At 37.9% G+C, this 20,870-nt stretch overlaps 1 protein-coding gene and 1 long non-coding RNA gene across 12 annotated transcripts in view; one reads left to right on the top strand and one right to left on the bottom strand.

Moving 5' to 3' along the window:
• DLGAP1-AS5 (DLGAP1 antisense RNA 5) overlaps positions 1–4,330 on the top strand; it is a 31,399-nt gene extending 27,069 nt beyond the window's left edge. The window contains exon 3 of the long non-coding RNA NR_036489.1: positions 1,490–4,330. This is a non-coding gene — a long non-coding RNA (DLGAP1 antisense RNA 5). The remainder of the gene's footprint in view (positions 1–1,489) is intronic.
• The window catches only part of DLGAP1 (DLG associated protein 1), a 959,276-nt gene that overhangs the window by 795,639 nt on the left and 142,767 nt on the right, over positions 1–20,870 (bottom strand). The window lies entirely within an intron of this gene.

Here is a 20,870-nt window from a genome sequence, read left to right on the forward strand (position 1 = left end):
AGATGCTATATAATACTTTATGTCTCACTATTAATTTATATTGTGTTTATTGTTAAAATTTCAGCTGGCAAAGGAAGCCTATGGTCTACTAAGGTGCCAATCCTATACACACTTATAAATTTAATGAATATTGATAATCATAAATGTGAGAAATAGTACGAAGCATCGATCTTGAAGGAAGAGCACTAGAAAAGAAAAAATGTTTGAATTGCATAAAAACAAAGTTAGAAAGGGAAACGGTTTTGTCAAATCTGCCTATAGACTAGAAGTTGCAAATTTGGGTTCTACATTAGAATTCTCTGGGGTACTGTTGACATTTGTTAGATTCTCACATACACACCGTGAATCAGTAGATGCCCAATAACTATTTTAACTAGAAATCCAGCAATCTACAGAAATCACTGCTAGATGACTTTCATTTAAAACATTACAAATAGATATTTCCAATCTGTATTCTGCCATTAATGAACTCAATTGTTCAAAATTGAATAGCATAAGCAATATGGAATTGCCCTAATTAGGCAGCATTAGCAACCATAAAAATGGTCCAGAGTAATAAAAAATGAATCTGTTTACAAAAAAATTCCACTTTATCATTGTTTAATTTTTAAAATAAGCAAAATATAGCTATTTTTGGAAAACAGAGATAAAAACAAAAAGCAGATAGAATCAGCCATAATCAAAATGTCCCATGGTTGCCACAGCTACCAAGTTTTTTTTTCATTTGAAAATATGTATATTTTAAAGTCAGATCACCAGATTGTATTTTAGCAAATTTTTTATGTAGTAAAATATGAGCATTTCCTATGTTGTTGGATAATCTCTTACAACATCACATTTTAAAATTTATCTTTGCTCATATTATAATATACTTTACTAATTTTTATTATTTCAGAAATTAGAAGAAAATTATCTATTACAAAGATTGCTCTTTAATTATGTCTTTGAAATAAATAATTTCTACATCTTTAAAGCAATATATTTCCAGGAATGTGGCTTGAAGGTTAAATACATACACATACAAACTAAAAATTCTTGCAACTAAATATTAGGCCAGATAGAATTTCAAGGGTAGTCTTTTCTCTCCCCTGGGAAATAGAAATCAGACAGGAGAAACAAGTTAGAAAGTTGGTAAGAAATGTGTGACATGGGACCAAACAACTTATCAAAGAAGCTGAATACAAAATCAGTATGTGATTGATACCTAGCAGATCCCTGTCCCAATCTTCCTAGGAACTGCCAACAACATGAGTGAGCAGAGAAGATCCATTATAGTTCTCTTGAGGATTTCTTTATAGGTGATAACTTTGAAAGGTTGACATTTACTTACCTATTTAGCTAAGGCTGTGATTACAATACGCACAGTGTTCCAAAGAACACAAGGAAACGGAGATGAAATCAGTGGAAGTTCAAGGAGCTGTTTAAGGACAAAGGTGATTATGATTCTATGTCTGGAAATGACCACAGAAATGTCTACCTTCTCTCATAGAGCAAGAAGATCGAAGCAAATGAACAAAGGTGGGATCCGGTTCCAATAATGAAGAATGTGATGACTACATGTATACCATTCTGGAACAGAGAAAAGACTGCCTGCAGCAATATCTCTAAAAACTACCTGTGGCAGACTCAGTGGATGGTCAAGTTTGGCTCTGAAACAAGTCTCCTCATTTGTCAGAGAAAGGACAGAGAAGATCCAGTTTATGTGATTAATTCAATGATATTAGTAGAGATCATAGATACAATGATCAAAATAAGAACATTGCTTTTTGCAAAATCAGATTAAACTGCACTCCAAAACAATACTGAATCATGTAAAAGCAGAACTTCCTCTCAGAGATTTCTGTATGCAAAGACAAAACAATTAGGTCACAGGATACCATGTTCTTGAGACTGTATGTCCTTACTAAGTTTCATTTTCATTCAGATATGTACAAGACCATTTGGTATTTGTAAAGAGGTTATGTTTATCTGTGTTTTCCTGAATATAGAATGAATATCTTTATGACAAAAAACTTTAGCTCAGAAGAATCTTTATCGCATTTAAAATAATTAACAACTATAGTGCATAATGTATAATTCAAGGGTTTTCTGTAGCCCATTTCCCATCTACCCTGTCCCTGTCCCCATACTCCTTCCTCACCTCCACCCAACCTCCACCAGAGATAATTAAGCTTTTAAGAATGAGATTGATCACTTAAAAGTAATATATTTTTACTTTATTTCTTTAATCCATGTTTAGACTTTCCTACCTGCCAAAACTTTGTATCTTTTAAACTTGGTATTCTACTTCTTTCTCCCATCTCAAACTATACGTAAATCAGTGTGTTAGAAATTCCAGTGAGTTTAATTGAACAGAAAGTTGGGGTATCTTGTATCCCCTCCTTTTTTTTCTTTTGGGACATAACCTTTGTTTCCCACTTGTGATTCCAGAATCTATCTTGGTATGATTCAACACCTTTTATCAGCTGCTTCTAAACAACTTTCACCACCATATTGCCTCCTCATTCTTCCGAAAATACACTATTTTCTAGTCAGGCCAAACTATACATTCTTTCCAGAGCTGACCACACTTGTTATGTTATATTCCCAGCTAAATGCCTTCTGTAACATTTACTACTTATCCTTCTGGATACAACCCCAATGTCACCACCTCCTTGAGAGCACCCCTGATTCCACAGGGTTGAGAGTCAGGGTGGCCTGGGAAGACCACACATGTCCTCTGCCATCATTCAGAGGTGGGTATAAGTGAAATGGGAGAGTTCCCTGGTCCCCCTCACAGGATGTGTGACAGGGGTATGGCTCTCTTCTTGGCTGCTATGAGCTCAAAGCCCTTACAAGAGGTGGAGCATGCAGATGAGCAGGTGCAGGAACCAGAGCGAGAGCTTTTGGGGTCCCGCCCCACAGCAGTGTCTAGGGGTGAGTTTCTGTGATTCCCAAAACCCAAGTGGGCACATGTTACAGTGTGCTCTTCTAGTGTTGCTGTCCAAGTGTTAACTAGCTTAGTGGACCCTCTGCCTTTTTGCAAGGGCAGAGGGCCAATGTGACAGCTTTCTGTATTCTGAGCTCTTATCCAGCATCCAGGAAGAATCAGGTGACACAGGGACTTGAAGGATGAATGTGGGGGTTTTATTGAGTGGTGGAGGTGGAACTCAGCAGGATAGATGGGAAACTGGACAGGGGATGGAGTGGGAAGATCATCTTCCCCTGGAGCTTGGCCATCCACTGGCTGATTCTCTGACCATCCCCAGCTGAACTCCTCCTAACAGTCCTTCTCTTCTTTCCTCTGCTGCATTGTTCTGCCATCCAGTTTGCTAATCTCCTTGTTTCCTGTCTCCTCATCTGCTCCTGGAGCCTGGGGTTCGGAGTTTATACGGGTACAGGACAGGGTGTGTGTCAGGTCAAAAGGCAGCTTTTTGGGCATGAAAACAGGAATGCCCGTCCTGTATCCAGGCTAGAGGGTGGGGCTTTTGCTGGGGAACTGCCCTCTTCTACCCAGTATTTCCCTGTCTCCTTTCTGCATCATAAAGATGTGTGGTACCCAGTTGGTGCAGACGCGAAATTCATCTGTTTCTTTATGTTTTCTCCCTTTGCTCTAAAAGGGTCCATATTTGCCTGCATTCTAGTGCTCACCACACCACATTGGGGTATTTGGTTATGTGTCTGGTTTCTTCAGTAGCCTAATGGTGTTCCCTGTGCAAGATTCTTAGATGGGCCTCAATAAAATGGTTGAGTTGCACTGAATTGTGTTTCTAAAGTAGATATCATGTCTTATTTCCACCAGGGCACAATGTCTAGCACTTAGAAGCTTAAAAAAAGATTGTTGAGATACTAAATGAATAGATTAACCAAAAGTTTAATTTTTCTAGCAGTGTTCATGGGTGGGAACAAAGCAGTAAAACAAACACATACAAAAATAAATGGAGGTCAAGGACCTATAATACTAAATGAGCTAGCACCATTTCATCTGGCTGTGCTACTTCCTAGCTATGCAACCTGAGACAAATCACATATACTCTCTGATCTTCTATTTCATTATCTGTGAAGTGGACACAAAAATAATACCTACCTCTTAGCACTGTTTATAAAACCAAATAAAAGTAAGTAAAGTGCTTAGCAGAGTGTGTAAAACACAAATTTGTGCTCGGTAAGTGTTAGTTATTATCATCTTATTGTTTCCTGAAAGGCCTCCAGCTATGCTTGTTAAGAAAGGCTTTTATTAAGTGTATTTAAAGATACTAATGATTAAAGTAATGAGAGTCAACACAGTCAATATTTATTGAGTGCTTACTTTGAGCCAGTCATCTATTCTCACTGGATTACACCATTGCAACATCAAGGAAACAGTTTTAAAAAAGTATAACCAGCACAAGGTTAGTAAGGAGAAAGCATGAAAACTGTGCTTCTCATTTCATCATCTGGGATCTTAGCAAATATACAACATTCAAGCAACCTTCTATGAATCTAGCCACACATTATGGCCCCACCACCCTGCGTCTTAATTTTGTTAGAACTTGCCTTATTATAATTAAGCACGCAGCCTTCCTTTACCTTCTAGTAAACAGTACATTTTCTGAAGACCGAGACTGTGTAACTCACCTTTATAACTCTCACAGCCTAAAGCTGATGTACACACAGGTGCACACACACAGAAACACATACACACACACAAATAAAGAGGAGAAGTGACAAAGTAGATCCACATTGTTGGAAAAGACACAGCAGGTTAAAGGAGGGCCACTCTCAGAAACATTTTAGCAATGAACAGAAAAACTAGACCACTCAAATGAACCACGTGCTTGCATTCACAGTGTTATACCTGTATAATTTGTTGAATTTCTAAAATCTGTAATTCAGTTAGTTCATCCTCCTTCAACCTTGAGTCATTTTATAGTTTAATTCCAGTTTTCCTTCTCTCCTAAATCCTGTTGTGAAAACCACTTTCAGATTGGCTGTCTTGATTAATAGCTCTGTAACGTCTACATTCTCTGGTGGACAAAACATTTTTTGTTCCAAAGTAATTCTTTACCTCTAGATGCTGGCAATTTCAGCATCAAAAGAATAAATAACCAACTGAAACTATATTCCTGAGGCCAGGCTATTGCCATCAGAACCCATATTTTCCTGTCTTCTCCCATTACCTGTGCACTGAAAGACAGAGCGGGTGGCATCTGACCAAGCAGCTCTCCTATGCCTGGAAAAGTAGCCACTTTCTGAGCAGGCAATGGATGGATTTAAACTTCCAACATCTTTCATCACCAAATAGCACTTCCCCAGAAGTGATGCATCATCTGGAGTTATTTTTCGGGTAATGGCACTTGAACCTGACCGGTACTTCACCTAAATTAAGAGTGGAACAGGTCTGTAAAGAGGACCTATGACTGTTATGCATCCCATAATAACTATAATTTTTGAACACCCTTTTTATAGTAGATGCTATAGAAAATGGTGGATAAATTTTGTTTTTATCTTCAACAACAGTATAAGGAAGATATGCCAATTTTATAAATGAGGCACCTGGGGCTCAGAGAGATTTAGGTAAGGATTAGCATCAAGGTAAGATGCCAAGAAGGGGCAGAGAAGGGAGTCCCATAAAGGTGAATCTGAAGACATCCTCTCTTCCCACCACACCGAGCCATGACCTGTAGAAAACCATCAATGTCTGGTGGTGCCTAAGACGCTCCATGCCATGGGAAAAATTTATTGAAATATAATATCCACATGGAAAAATCAACAAAACTTTATGCCTAAAACTTATTCATGAAGAGACAATGGTAAAGATACTTAATTAGAAATATAAAATAGCTGACATTGTAACATATCCTCTATACTTATTGTTGGGAAACAATTGTCCCTGGTTATTTTATTATCCTTGGTTATTTTCACATTTCAGTATGATCCTGAGCCTCTGAGCAAAGGGTACTGCAAGGATGTTTGCTTAACAGACAGCCTCGGAAGTCGGAGAGTAATGTCTCCATTAAGATAGACAGCACGGGAGAGATCTGGAGACAAGGCTCTCTCCTTTCTATTCTCCGGATGAGATTGGCTTACATTCTGGTATAACAGATAATTAATTTCTCCTCTCTCTCTCTCAATCTCTCTCTCTCTCTTTCTCTATCTATCACTGTTGCTCTTACTCAGGCAAGGCAGAGGTGCGAGTAGCCCATGAAAGTTTAGTCTCTCCTAATTTGGGGGTTCCTCTCCCATGATGCAAACCTAATGCAAACGCAGGTAAACTTTTGACTCTTAACAGCATCGCCATGAAAGGACTGGGAACTAGAGCCACAAGCCAGAGGGAAGACAGTTCTCTGGCTGCTGCTTTTCTGTGAGTCATAAGGCTCTGTGTCTCTGCCCCGGACTCTGGTGTCTTCTGTCAGTATATGCATAAAACTGTGCAAGGCTAACCTGTTAGCTTGCAAGTAGAGTTCAGTTATATGCGGGCGATTGGCTCCATGACCCTCACCTATACCAAAATCCGTGCATACCCAAGTCCCGCAGTCCGCCTTAAGGAACCTGAATATACTAAAAGTCAGCCCTTTCTAGATGCGAGGTTTGCATCCCCCGCGAATACTGCATTTTCAATCTGTGTTTGCTTGAAAGAAAATTTGCGTATACACAAATCTGTGCAGGTCAAACCCATGTTGTTCAAGGGTCAACTGTAATCTGAGACCCTCCTCAGTTTCTAAATTAACATCAGAAGTTCTCAAAGTGTGTTCCCACATCAGCCCTGGGGAATAGTTAAAGAAGCATATACACCATGGAATACTATGCAGCCATAAAAAATGATGAGTTCATGTCCTTTGTAGGGACATGGATGAAATTGGAAATCATCATTCTCAGTAAACTATCGCAAGAACAAAAAACCAAACACTGCATATTGTCACTCACAGGTGGGAACTGAACGATGAGATCACATGGACACAGGAAGGGGAATATCACACTCTGGGGACTGTTGTGGGGTGGGGGGAAAGGGGAGGGAAAGCATCGGGAGATATACCTAATGCTAGATGACGAGTTAGTGGGTGCAGCGCACCAGCATGGCACATGTATACATATGTAACTAACCTGCACAATGTGCACATGTACCCTAAAATTTAAATAAATAAAAAAAAAAAAGCAGCAGCAAATTCTTGGCCTGGCGCAGTGGCTCACGCCTGTAATCCCAGCACTTTGGGAGGCCGAGGTGGGTGGATCACGAGGTCAAGAGATCGAAACTATCCGGGCCAACATGGTGAAACCCCGTCTCTACTAAAAATACAAAAAATTAGCCAAGCGTGGTGGCAGGCGCCTGTAGTCCCAGCTACTCAGGAGGCTGAGGCAGGAGAATGGTGTGAACCCGGGAGGCACAGCTTGCGGTGAGCCCAGATCACGCCACTGCAGTCTAGCCTGGGCGACAGAGCGAGACTCTGTCTCAAGACAAAAAAAAAAAAAAAAAAAAAAAAATAGAAGCAAATTCTTGGGCCCCAGCCCAGATCCACTGAATCCGAAGTTCTGGGGTGGAGCTCAGCAATTTATGCTTTAATAAGCCATTCATGTAATTCCAGTGCACACCAAGATTTACAAACCACAAAACATACTCTGTTCATATGTTTCTAGTAACAGTAGCTCCATTTGACAGTGCCCTGCTAACACAAATTCATTTTGAAAGAACACTCAACAGATCTATCTCTAAAAGAATTAAGATTTCTTTGAAGAAATCACTTTCATGTGTTTGATTTTTTTAATTCAAATATTTAATAGTAGTACAAACTCTGCACTCACAACCATAATTTAGTGTAAATTAGAAGAGTTTCCTCAATTTCAAATACTATATTACTTGGCTGAGCCAAAAATAATCATCTGTACAGAGCATCTATGAAAATAAACAGCCCATTTTGTCACACTGTCACTAAGTAGAAATGTCTTGCTTTTTCAAATTGTGCTTACTTGTCATAAAAATTACTCAGCAAATATAAAAGAGAGTGAAAAAATTAAAAGTTATTAATACATGTTCTGTATTCCTCCCTGCAAGATTTTGTTTAAAAAACACACACAAAAAAAACAAACAAAATACCAGAAGGTTACCTTAGGACAATATCAAGTATCAGGTCTTAATGGCTGTAAAATATTCCCATAAACTATAATTTATTTAGGCAATTCATCATCTACAGTATGATGTATAAAAGTGATGTTTTTAACTATTTATCACAATAAAAAGTTACACGGCACTCTAAGGAATCCCTAGAATCAAATCAATTGGAAAATCATTAAAACTAATAAGAAATCTGTAAATTCATACTTTCAAATAATCGATAGCTTTGCTATGTACCAGCAAAACCTATTTAGAATATCCAAAAAAAAGCAATCTCATCTGTACTAACAAATTTTATTTCTCATTTGTGCGATAAAGCTTTGCCCATATCTTTATTTGCAAATAGTGTGTCCTTTTTATACAAAAGCATATAGAGAAATACTTGATTCAATTTAACAGTGTTGTCTTTTAGCAAAGGAATTTAATCCACAATGATAATCCATGACAATAACAATATTTAAACTTATTATTTACCTTATTTAATGCCATATGATTGGGTTTTAATACATATTTTGTCTTATTTTGATAAAATGATCGTGTTTAAATGTTTTCCTGCCACTTATAAATTATGCACACAAAACATATTCTACTATGGTTTATCTGTAGATCGTAAAATGTTTGAATCTCTAGTAATATCACATGCAAGACAAAATGTTGAGCAAATTTTACTGATCGCTTTGCCCTAAAACCTATTCCCACCCTATGTACAGATACACCTACAAACTCATTCTCCAAACACAATTACACGCCTCTTTTGATTTTACAATTAAAAAAACTCTTGCAATACTCTAGAAATTTTTTTATATTTGTTTTAAGCCTTACAGCCACACTAACAGCAATAATAGTTTAGACTTGATTCTGAGCTCTACTGGTATTACTGATCACCCCTCTTTCTGCTTTTAAAGTGTCTTCCCTTTCTGAGTCTGTCTAGATGGCACAGTGTCTTTTTCACGATTTTATGTGTACATGGTTATACACTTTGAGTTCTCATATGTTAAAACATTTTTCTGTCATTGCCTCCGGAATGATAGGTTTATTACTGACTTGTAAGGATTTGTTATATACTCTTGCACACCAAGGGCTTTCTGCCATTCTCTTTTAAGAAAGCTTTCTCCCCTATTTCCAATGTTAGGGTTGTTTTGTCATTGAATTCTTAGATCAAAGGTTATCTCTCCTTTGCAAACAACCCAATCCAAAAGTATTCACTTGACTTCTGATCATTTTATCCTCTTTAATTTTTTAATTAAAATATTTATTATAAATTGACAAATTATAGTTGTAGATGTTTATGGGATACAAAGTTATATTATGGTATATGAATACAATGTGGAATAATTAAATCAGACCAATTAACATATCTATCAACTCAAATTCTTATCATTTTTCATGGTAAGAACATTTGAAATTCACTTCCTTAGTGATTTTGAAATGTACAATACATTATTTTTAATTATATTCACGATGCTATGCAATAAATCTCAAAAGAAAAACAACAACTCATATTCCTCCTATCTAACTGAGGCTTTGTGCCCTTTGACCACCATTTCCCCATTACTCCACCTCTCAGCCTCTGGTAACCATCATTCCACTCTCTACTTCTGTAAGTTAGATTGTTTCAGATTCTACACAAAGTGAGAATGTGTAGTATTTGTCTTCCTGTTTCTGATTTATTTCATTTAACTTAATATTCTCCAGTTCTATTCATGTTGTCACAAACAATTAAATTTCTTTCTTTTTAAAAGTGCATAGTACTCCATTGCATGTGTTTGTATATATATATCACAATTTCATCATCCATTCATCGGTTGGTGGACACACAGGTTGATTCCATAACTTGGCTGTTGTGAACAATGCTGCAGTGAACACGGATATGCAGATATGCAGATATGCCTTTGACACGCTGATTTCAAATCTTCAGGGTAAATACCAAAAAGTGGGATTGCTGGATCATATAATAATTCTATTTTTAAATTTTCTGAGGAACCTACATCTAGTTTGGTTAGACTAATTTACTTATCCCACTAACAGTGTACAAGGGTTCCCTTTTCTCCACATCCTTGCCAATGACCTTTTGTTTTTTTGATAATACCCATTTTAACAGGTGTGAGGTAACAATCATTGTGGTTTTGATTTCATTTCTCTAATGATTAATGAAATTGAATTTTTTTTCATATATCTGTTGGTCATTTGCATGACTTCTTTTGAGAAATGTCTATTCAGGTCCCTTGCCTACTTTTTAATCAGGTCATTTGTTTTCTTGCTATTGAATTGTTTGAGTTTCTTATATATATTGGATATTAACCACTTATCAGATGTGTGGCTTACAAATATAGTCTCCCAATCTCTAGGATATCTCCTCAGTCTGTACATTGTTTCATTTGTTGTGCAGAAGCTGTTTAGTTTGATGCAGTCCCATTTCTCTACTTTTTTGCTTTTGTTGCCTGCATTTTTGGAGTCAGATAAAAGAAAAATCACAGTTCAGACCAAGGTTGTGTAGTTTTTCCCCCGTATTTTCTTCTAGTAGTTTTACAGTCTGGGGTCTTATGATTAATCCTTTAATCCATTTCGAGTTGATTTTTGTATATGCTGTGAGATAAGGGTCCAATTTCATTGTTCTGCATGTGGATATACAGTTTTCCTGACATCATTTATTGAAGAGACTATTCTTTTCCCATTGTATGTTGTTGGCACCTTTGTTGAAAATCAATGTACATACGTGAGCTTTTTTCTGGGCCTCTATTCTGTTCCATTGGTCAATGTGTGTATTTTTAAATTTTTTTTATTTTTTATAAAGTACATTTTTTTGACATGTACAACACAAAGTTTTTAATGTATTGACAATGTGTCTATTTTTATGCCAGAACCATGCTTTTAAATTAGTATTTGTAGTATAATTTTGAATTAGGTAGTGTGATACATCCAGCTTTGTTCTTTTGGCTTAGAATTGCCTTGGCTTATTTGGGAATTTTTGTGGTTCCATATGAGTTTTAGAAACTTTTCTAATTTCTATGAAAAATGACATTGAAATTTTAATAGAGACTGCACTGAATCTATAGGTCACATTGGGTAGCATGAACATTTTAACAATATTAATTCTTCCAATACATGAACACAGTCTATCTCTCCATTTATTTATGTCTTCTTCAATTTCTTTCCTTAATATTTTAGAGTTTCCAGTGTTTATTTCTTTTATTTTTTTGGTTAACTTTATTCCTAAGTATTTTAATTTTTGTAGCTATTGTAGATGGGATTCTCTGTGTAATTTTATTTGTGGCACTTTCCTTCTACTAGTTTATTTCCTTCCACTAATACTTAAGCTGGAACTTTCCCTGTTGACTGCTGGGTTCCCAGTTCCCAGAATAGTGACTGGCACATAGAGGCCACTAAAACAATTGTTGATTAAATGAATGAGTGAATGCATGAACGAAATCAATTAGTCTGATATCGATAGCTTCATTGAGCTCTGGAAAAGAATGTGTGGCTTCTGTTAATTTCTTTCTATCTGAGCCAAAAGAAGAGAAAGGTATTATTCTATTTTTTTTTTCATTAGCAAAGTTGGGAGACCAGGTTAATGTGGAGAAAGAAAAAAAATGTAGGCAGAACATCACAGCTGCATATAGGCACCTCTGTTCATGAGGGCAGCTGATCTCTCTTGTGTGCTGTAGCAACCACAGCTGAGAGTGGAACCTGGCAAGAAGCAACCCCCACAAACCTCCCTCTGGTAGTCAGGCTGGCCTCTCTCAGAGCAGTGAGGGCCCTAGGATGCTAGTCCCCAAGAACAGCAGTGCCATGTGAGAAGCTACAGCACCATCAAATTTTGATTGTATTGACAATTCAAATTTTTTTCTCCAAACTGGCCAATGTTAATTTAGAAGAAGTGGCATAGCAAGGCTGGGACTCCTCCCTAACTCATCATCTCAATCCTTGCAGGGAATGAACCCTGGTGTGGCACCCACTTCATTTCCTTCCATAATCTGAATGAACTTCAATTATGCAAAGAGTAATGTTCCCTGATTTCTGTGCCTACTAGAGAAATGGTTCTTAATATTTTAGTTGAGTGTATCTGAAGTGTATTAGAAGAAGGAGAAATGCAAATGGCCTTAGAATACCTTGTTGGTCCTGAAAATCCTAGTTCCTTTTTAATTCTATTCTTGGCTGGTTGTTAGAACTGGTTTTGAAAAGTGCTCAAGAGAAGATGACTTAGGATAACATTGACAAAAAAGGAAAACCCATGTGTTATTCCTAAGCAAAATTATAAATATTTTAACTATTTCCCAATTGAGGACATATGCTTTCCCCTATCAGACATACTTGTGGATGCATGGTAGCAGTTGTTGATCTTGGCATGTACATTTTTTAGTCTGAATTCATAAAACTGTGCAGAAATGAAAAGTTGGTTATGAGAAGGTCATGAGAAATTAGTGTTTAGTGGGTACAGATTTTAAGTGGAGGAAGATAAAAAGTTCTGGAGATTGATGGTGGTAATGGTTGTAGAACAATGTGAATGTACTTAATACTATAGAATTGTACACTTTAAGATTGTTAAATAGTAAATTTTATGTTATGTATACTAAACCAAAATAAAATAAATGGTGATCCCAGTGCTTACCTTGGGTGGGGAACCCTCAATAATTAGAAACAATTATTCAAAAAATTTTCAAACACCTATTTGTGCTTTTTCATATTAATGTTTGCAGTTGTTAGTATTATACACATAATTCAATTCCACTTGAAAAACAATTGCTAGCTGATTCTGTGAACACATTTTGGAAAGATATAATTAGTTAATGATGCCTTGTCACTACTGCAGATTTTACACATTGTTAATATTGCAGAAGCTTCTTTAAGAAAATGTATTCTAAAGTTACTATCTTAGTATCTAAAATAATACTAACTAAAATATAGTCATTGGCCAGGCGTGGTGGCTCACGCCTGTAATCCCAACACTTTGGGAGGCTGAGGAGGGTGGATCACCTGAGGTCAGGAGTTCGAGACCAGCCTGGCCAACATGGTGAAACCTCATCTGTACTAAAAATACAAAATTTAGCTGGGCGCGGTGGCGGGCACCTATAATCCCAGCTACTTGGGAGGCTGAGGCAGGAGAATCGCTTGAACCCAGGAGGCGGAGGTTGCAGTGAGCTGAGATTGCACCACTGCACTCCAGCCTGGGTGACAAGAGCAAAACTGTGTCTCAAAAAAAAAAAAAAGTTGTCATTGTGAACTTTGCTAACATTATTCATTAAAAGTCATTCCTAACATTGTATGTTACTCTCCTTGCCCACTCCTTTTAGTCTTGAGACTAATAAATATTAATTCATTCATGGAATAAATTAAAACAATATTTTTGTTCCTATCATGTGCCAGGACCTGTGGTGAGGACGCACAAAAAGGAACAGACCCTGAGTTCAAAACTCCTATCTGGGTGTGCTTATGCGGTGAAGGAAGAGTAGGGATGTGAAAGGAAAGGGAGACAAAGCATGATGACAATGAGAATGAACAATAACATGAAAAACCAGCCGGGCGTGGTGGCTCACGCCTGTAATCTCAGCACTTTGGGAGGCGGAGGCGGGTGGATCACCTGAGGTTGGGAGTTTAAGACCAGCTTGACCAACGTGGTGAAACCCTGTCTCTACTAAAAATACAAAATTAGCTGGGTGTGGTGGCACGCGCCTGTAGTCCCAGACACTCGGGAGGCTGAGGCAGGAGAATTGCTTGAACCTGGGAGGTGGAGGCTGCAGTGAGCCGAGATCGTGGCACTGCACTCCAGCCTGGGAAACAACAGCAAAACTCCGTCTCAAAAAAAAAAAAAAAAAGGAAAAAGAAAAAGAAAAACCACAGGTCATTTAGTCCACGAAGACACGACCTTTACATGCATGCTGTCTCAGATGATCCTTCCAACAATTTTCTAAGTAAAGTACTATTGTTATTTCACCTTTACAAATGATAAAGTCATGCTCAGAAAGTCTATTCAATACCATTCTCAATATCAGAAAATTAGTAATTTGAGGTACCTGTCTCTGGTCATTTTACTTCAAAGCCTATGTTTTAAATCACATTATGATATTACCTATCCCTTCTAATGTTAAAACAAAACAAGCAAATCTACACAAGGTGAGAAAAGATAGTGTGGAACCTGGGAAAACAGTACAACAAAATTTGGCATGATTATTATTTTTTTTTTGTCAGAGGAATTTTAGGTTTTAGTTTTGGGGAAGTTATCGAGTAGAATGCTATCAGTCTCATTAATGAAACAACTCCCAAAACATTACACACACACACACAGACACACACAAATACACACACACACACACACACACACACACACACGGGGGAGAGGGGGGCGGAGAGAGAGAGAGAGAGAGAGGGAGAGAAATTAAATAACAGCAGATAGGTGATATCTGGAAAACTGGTGGATAACGAATGACTGCTTAACCAGATCCCAGGAAGGCAATTGCCTGAGCTCTGAATGAAGAAAGCTTACTGGTAAGTTGATTCACATGTCAGATCTTCTACATTGCTAGGAAAGTTGGCTACAAAGGGGACACAAGTAGAGGGACTGACAGAAAGCTTATATTAGAAGAAGGAAGACCCATGCTTTACTTTGTCAAACTATCATACTGCCGTCCCTCCAAAAAGTTTAATATGATCATATCAGAAGGATATGAGAATAAAAAAAGAGAAAGTAAGAGTGTGTGTGTGTGTGTGTGTGTGTGTGTGTGTGTGTGAGAGAGAGAGAGACAGACAGAGAAGAAAATAAAGAAGAAAGGAGGGAAAGGGGAAGGAGTGGGAGAGGGGGTTGGAGGAGGAGAGGAAAACAGAAGCCCTGGTTATGGTTTAAACTATTTCCTTGTATAGCTTTCCAAAAATTAAATCTAATTTTAGAAGGTATTATAACTTACTATTACATTTTATAATAAGTTTCCCAAATGATACGGAAGTTTTAGACTACTACTTTTAGGGATTCAGTTAACTGACATTCTCTTCTAAAGCCTCTTTGAGGGATGTGGTGCCTGTTTCAAATGACATTTGCTACCTTAAAACCTAGGACTCGAGTTATCTATCCAAAGGCAAGTTGAGTAATTTTCACAAGAATTTATTAAGTCTATTAATCTTGTTTATTCCAGTGAAGCAGATCATTTATGTTCTTAGGTTATAGGTAAATGGTATAAAATTCTTCAGAGAATCAATGAGCTTTTGTTTTGTTTGTCCTTCTCAATAGCACGTTAATTTTAACTTTAAAAGGCATACAATTTGATTTCATAATTGAATCACAAGAAACACAAATAAAAACTATCAAAAGTTTGGTGCTAATAAATAAATCACCCAAATTCATACCTGGGAAATTTCAGATTTTACACAGTGAGGCTTTCTTTGAGCACCAAAATCCCTTTAGAATGTGTTAATGTGCTATAGGAGAGGGCACTGTGTGTATCCAGGTTGTCCTGGAAGAAATGCATTCCTAAAGACCAACTTAATCCAATAGAATTGAAAGTCTTAGCATTGAATAGTGAAGAGATGCATATTTAAGACATTCCAGAAGGTTCTTTTCCCTTCTGCTTGGATACTCATTGCTAGGTGACAGACTCCTTCTCCTCTTTCACGTCACCTCAACCAAAAACTCTGTTCTACCAGAGCCTCTCAAATGCCATCTCTGGTTTCCACCTTTGAAATGCATTGATTTATTCATTTGGTAAATATTTTTTCACACACAAAGTTACACAGCCACCATCTGTCCAAATCGTGCTAAATGCCACACAATATTCTAGGTGCTTTACATAAATTATTTCATGTATATGCAACAATACTCCAGTGTAATATGATCTCTTTCAACAGAGGAAGAAACTAAGGCTTAGAGAAACAGTGCACCAGCCACAGAAATAGAACACGGCAGAGCCAGGCGGCAGGGCCTGCAGTCTCTGCACTCTGCCCCGCCAGCACTCTGTCCCTCAGGTAGCAAACTTGAGGGTTTACTTTTTTTTTTTTTTTTTTTTTTTTGAGGCAGAGTCTTTTTCTGTCACCCAGGCTGGAGTGCAGTGGCATGATCTCAGCTCACTGCAACCTCCATCTCCTGGGTTCAAGCTATTTTCCTGCCTCAGCCTCTCGAGTTGCTGGAATTACAGGCATGCGCCACCACGCCTGGCCAATTTTTGTATTTTTAGTAGAGATGGGGTTTCGCTACATTGGCCAGGCTGGTCTCAAACTCCTGACCTCAGGTGATTCCCCTGCCTCACCTCCCAAAGTGCTGGGATTACGGGCATGAGCCACCGTGCCCGGCCGAGGGTTTGCTTTATACCTGTCCCTGTACTACACTTCACACCTGTCATCCCATCTGAATGTTACCACAAACTGATGAGCAAGGCACTACTGTTGTTCACTTATGCACAAGAGGAAACTGAGGCTTATAGGGACTAAGTCACTTGAGGAAGACTGCTTGTCTGATAATTGGTGACTGGGTGACCCAAAGACTCTCTCCTGCCCTACAGCGCAAGTTTCTACTCACTGCCCTCTGCCTTTGCTCTACCAAATATCTGCAACCATGCAGAGGTACTCTATAACTGTACTGATTTCTACCAGGACTTAATAAACATAAACTTATTTTGAGCTACATAAAAATATCTAATAAATATGATAAATATGCTAGAATCATGAAACAGTGATCAAAACTACTGTATCTAATGGCTGCTCTTTAAAATAATCTGTGTATTACAAGCTGTAATAGCTCCAGTGACATTTTCAACTTCATGGAAGATAAATTTAACTAGAAAACTCCAATTATGGAAAGAATTATTTTTGTACCATACGTATAACTTTAAACATCCAATTTCATTCAGATATAGGAAAATCATAAAACCTTTCCATCAGATTAACAATAAAAACACAAGGACTACCCCCAAACTTACCTGACAAAGAATTAAATTAAAAGGTTTAAATTGGTACAAATAGTAGTAGGTCTATGATTGAGACTCAAGTAGGAAAGGGGAAGAAAAACCGGAACAACTTCAATTTCTATGTGAAGAGCTGGCGGCAAATCTAATTAACAACACAAAGCCTCAGGCGAAGAAGCTGCTATTCTACCCTTTGCCAAATAAAATGAACTTCATCTTTTAAAAGCTCCAGCCAAGCTAAAATAAGTTACTAAATGGTAAGACGTGTGAAATCCAAGCCCTTTAAAGATACAGAGGCCAGAACAACAAATGTAATTGCTTCATTCCTTAACAAGCGGATTGAAAAGTAAACACCTTGTGGTCATTATAACAACTAAGTCATATAAATATATTTGATGCAGTATAAAATAAAATAACGCCTATAGAAATATTCCATACACTGTAGGCCTCTACAGTTATCGGGTAAGATGTAGGTAGGTAGGTAAGACATGACAACACACATGGCTTTGCTTTCAACTAAGGGCTTGGTTACCTGTACAGTTTCTGGTGATAGCATCCATTGAGAATACACACTTTGTTCAGCATTGTGCTTTGGGGTTCAAGGATAAATTTACAGTATCATACATGTACTTCAGGCCTTCAAACCGCTTGGGGAAATGGAAAGAGCGCACATAGCAATAGCACTAAATATATGGCGGAAGATAAGCCAGTGCTGAATTTTGTGGGTCAGGTGAGAAAAGTTTTAAAATGCTGAGGGAGGTTTCAAAAGCAAGAGAGTGCAAGAGAATTTGCAGAGTTTGCAGATTTGATGGGATTTAGAACAGTAGAAGGAGGGGGCATGGATGAGGAGGTCAGCTCTGGAAGGCTGAGTCAGGATGAACTAAGCACTAAGAAGAGCCTCTATCTTCCCCGAAACTTTAATCACAGAACTGAAATACAAAGAGAAATAAAAAATCGTTTAGCCCATTTTTTTTCTTCCTTAGTCCAATGCCCACTGTCAGTGGAGAAGGAAAGATGCTGTAATTACAAAAGCCAAGGAAGCAACATGATGTCTTAGAGAAAAAGTGACAGCTTCGGATTTCTAGGAATGAGGTCAAATTCTCACTCCAGAAGTTTCCTCCCCTAGTGACCTAGGACAACTTATTTAGCATTTCTAAACCTCAGTTTTCTTATGTATCAAATGGGGGCATTAATAGTCAAAGAGTAAAAAAGGCTCCACAGGCTTTTTGAAAATGAAATTCAGATGAGATAATGTTTAGCTTCTTTCTCTTACACCATCTCTTCTCCACCTCTAGAGAAGGGCCTGAGTATCCGCTCTGCTTCAGTGTGAGTGGCTTCTTGGACACTGGTGATATTATGAAATAATTTTTCCCACTCCAGGCTAGACTTGAGGACTAAATATTGTGTGATCTAGCCATATTTTTGTATCTAATTCAATTGCAGGAGAAATGGGAAAGCTTCAATTAACACATTTTGTTAGAAGACCTAGGCTCTGACCTCACCTAGGAGATACTTCTGTGAAGGACTTATACCAGGATTTGGTTGGGTTAGAATCGTTCCTGTGGGAAATGAGACTCCTCATTCAGAAGATACTTTCCAGTTTCTTGGGTGTGAGTTTTTTTTTAATTGCATTAGATTACACATTTTCTCCTTTTTTTGTTGTTTTTACTGTTAACATTAGTCAGCTTGCATATGTGCATATGCTCAACGCATGCGTGTGTTGTTTTGAAACACAAAACAACTGGTGCTTTGAAAAAGTTAAACATCTACAATAAAATTCCAATTGCCATCTTCCCCAGGAAGTTTCCCACTTCATTCTTTAAGGTAAGTTCAATTTCCACTTCTTCAAGAAGGCTGCAATCATCCACTGCTTTCCTGATTTACTCCTCTCCTCCCGTTAGGTTAGGTACTCCTTTTATGTGATTTCCTACAACCTTGAACACATCTTTAGCACTGTGCTTTATCATAGTGTACAGGTTTACATACATTTTCTGACTCCAGGCTGCGAGTTCTTTGGGAACAAGAACCCTCTTATTCCTCATTGTATCCTGTGTTTAGTTGTCTGGCATATAACGATGCACTCAGTAGGTAAGAGCACAAGATACTTATCTAGAAGCAACAGAAATGTCACCCTGTCCCTTCCCATTTAAATAGTAAACATTATTCTGTATGCCAAAAGGTTCATTCATTCTTGCTTTGGTGCTTCTTCACATCATTCTCATATATAAGACACAGCCTCCCTAGCCCAGTTCTTTACATCATCTTAGCAATTCTCTGATTGTTTAGAAGGCCTTACAGAACACCGTAGGTGCCTTACAGAACACCTTAGTAATTCTCTCTGCTGGGTTTGATTCTTTCAAATTCTTAGCCCACTAAATGCACTTTTACTCTATGCTTGCATGTAAAGGATGCTGACTTATTTTTCCTTTCAAAGCCTAGGTCTAAAGAGAAAACAACTAAAAAAATTCTGCAGCATTATACAAAGTAAGCCCAGGTATTAGTCAAAGTCCAATTCCAACACCTTAGGCCTACTTGATAAGATGTGTTCTCCCTTAGGGCACAATTCATCTGTAATCACTGCTACTGGATACTGACTTGAGCAGAACTATAAACATTTTATTGCAGATAGCTTGACTTTGACAAAGGCAAAATCTTTTTACCCTCTAATTCATAAGATCTCCTCATTTACTCATCAGCCTTACTTTTTAAGAGTGCCCACTGGGATAATTACAGTGGTTGTTTCACTCATGTCGGCTTTATTTAGATAATAAGCTCAAAGGCCAGGGATGCCTTAGCAGTTTCTATCTTTAGCACTGAATACAATATATGAGAATAACATTTGTGAAATGTTAATACCAGGTTTTTAATATCTTTTAGTAACAAATCCTTTTGAATTGTCTAGGGGCTACACTGGAGTCAAGTTTCATTTATTTTCTTCTTGAGATTTTTATATTGATTCCAATGCTAGAAATTATAGGCCATTAGTGGATCATTGAGCATTTCCTCTTCTTGAACATTTTCAGTAGTGTACTACTGATACTTAATTCTAAATTTAATCTAGATATGTGCTCCTCTAGATCCAATGCCAACTAAATATATATATGTATTTTGAGACAGAATCTCGCTCTGTCGCCCAGGCTGGAGTGCAGTGGCGCAATCTCGGCTCACTGCAACCTCCACCTCCCGGGTTCAAGCAATTCTCCTGTCTCAGCCTCCTGAGTAGCTGGGATTACAGGTGCCCGCCACCACGCCCGGCTAATTTTTGTAGTTTTAGTAGAGACAAGGTTTCACCCTGTTGGCCAGGCTGGTCTCGAACTCCTGACCTCAAGTGATCCGCCAGCCTTGGCCTCCCAAAGTGCTGGGATTACAGATGTGAGCCACCATGCCTGGCTAATTTTTGTATTTGTAGTAGAGACAGGATTTCACCATGTTGGAAAGGCTGATTTCAAACTCCTGGCCTCAAGTGATCTGCCCACCTTGGCCTTCCAAAGTGCTGGGACTACAGGCATGAGCCACTGTGCCTGGCCCAGTGCCAATAATTTCATCAAAAATTTTCTAAGCGATAATTCAGTAATAAGAGTTTGCCACGTACTGTTCTCAGTGATTATATACACACAAAAATTGACAGGTATTTTAAAACTTATTCAGTGTCTCACAACCAAGAAGCAATGCCTACGATTTATACACAGGTTTAGAATTTGAACATGGTCTTACCACTACATCCTACACCAAGATTATACAATACTAACTAAGGTGATACAGATGGTCCCCAATTTATGATGGTTCCACTTAAAAAATTTTTCAATTTTATGATGAGTTTATCAGGGCAGAACCCCACCATAAGTGGAAGAGCATCTGAACTAACAATAATTCAACTTATAATTTTTGACTTTAAGTTTGTCAGGGTGTGAAATGTC

Source organism: Homo sapiens, chromosome 18, assembly GCF_000001405.40.
Source record: "Homo sapiens chromosome 18, GRCh38.p14 Primary Assembly".
Classification (NCBI taxonomy): Eukaryota; Metazoa; Chordata; class Mammalia; order Primates; family Hominidae; genus Homo; species Homo sapiens.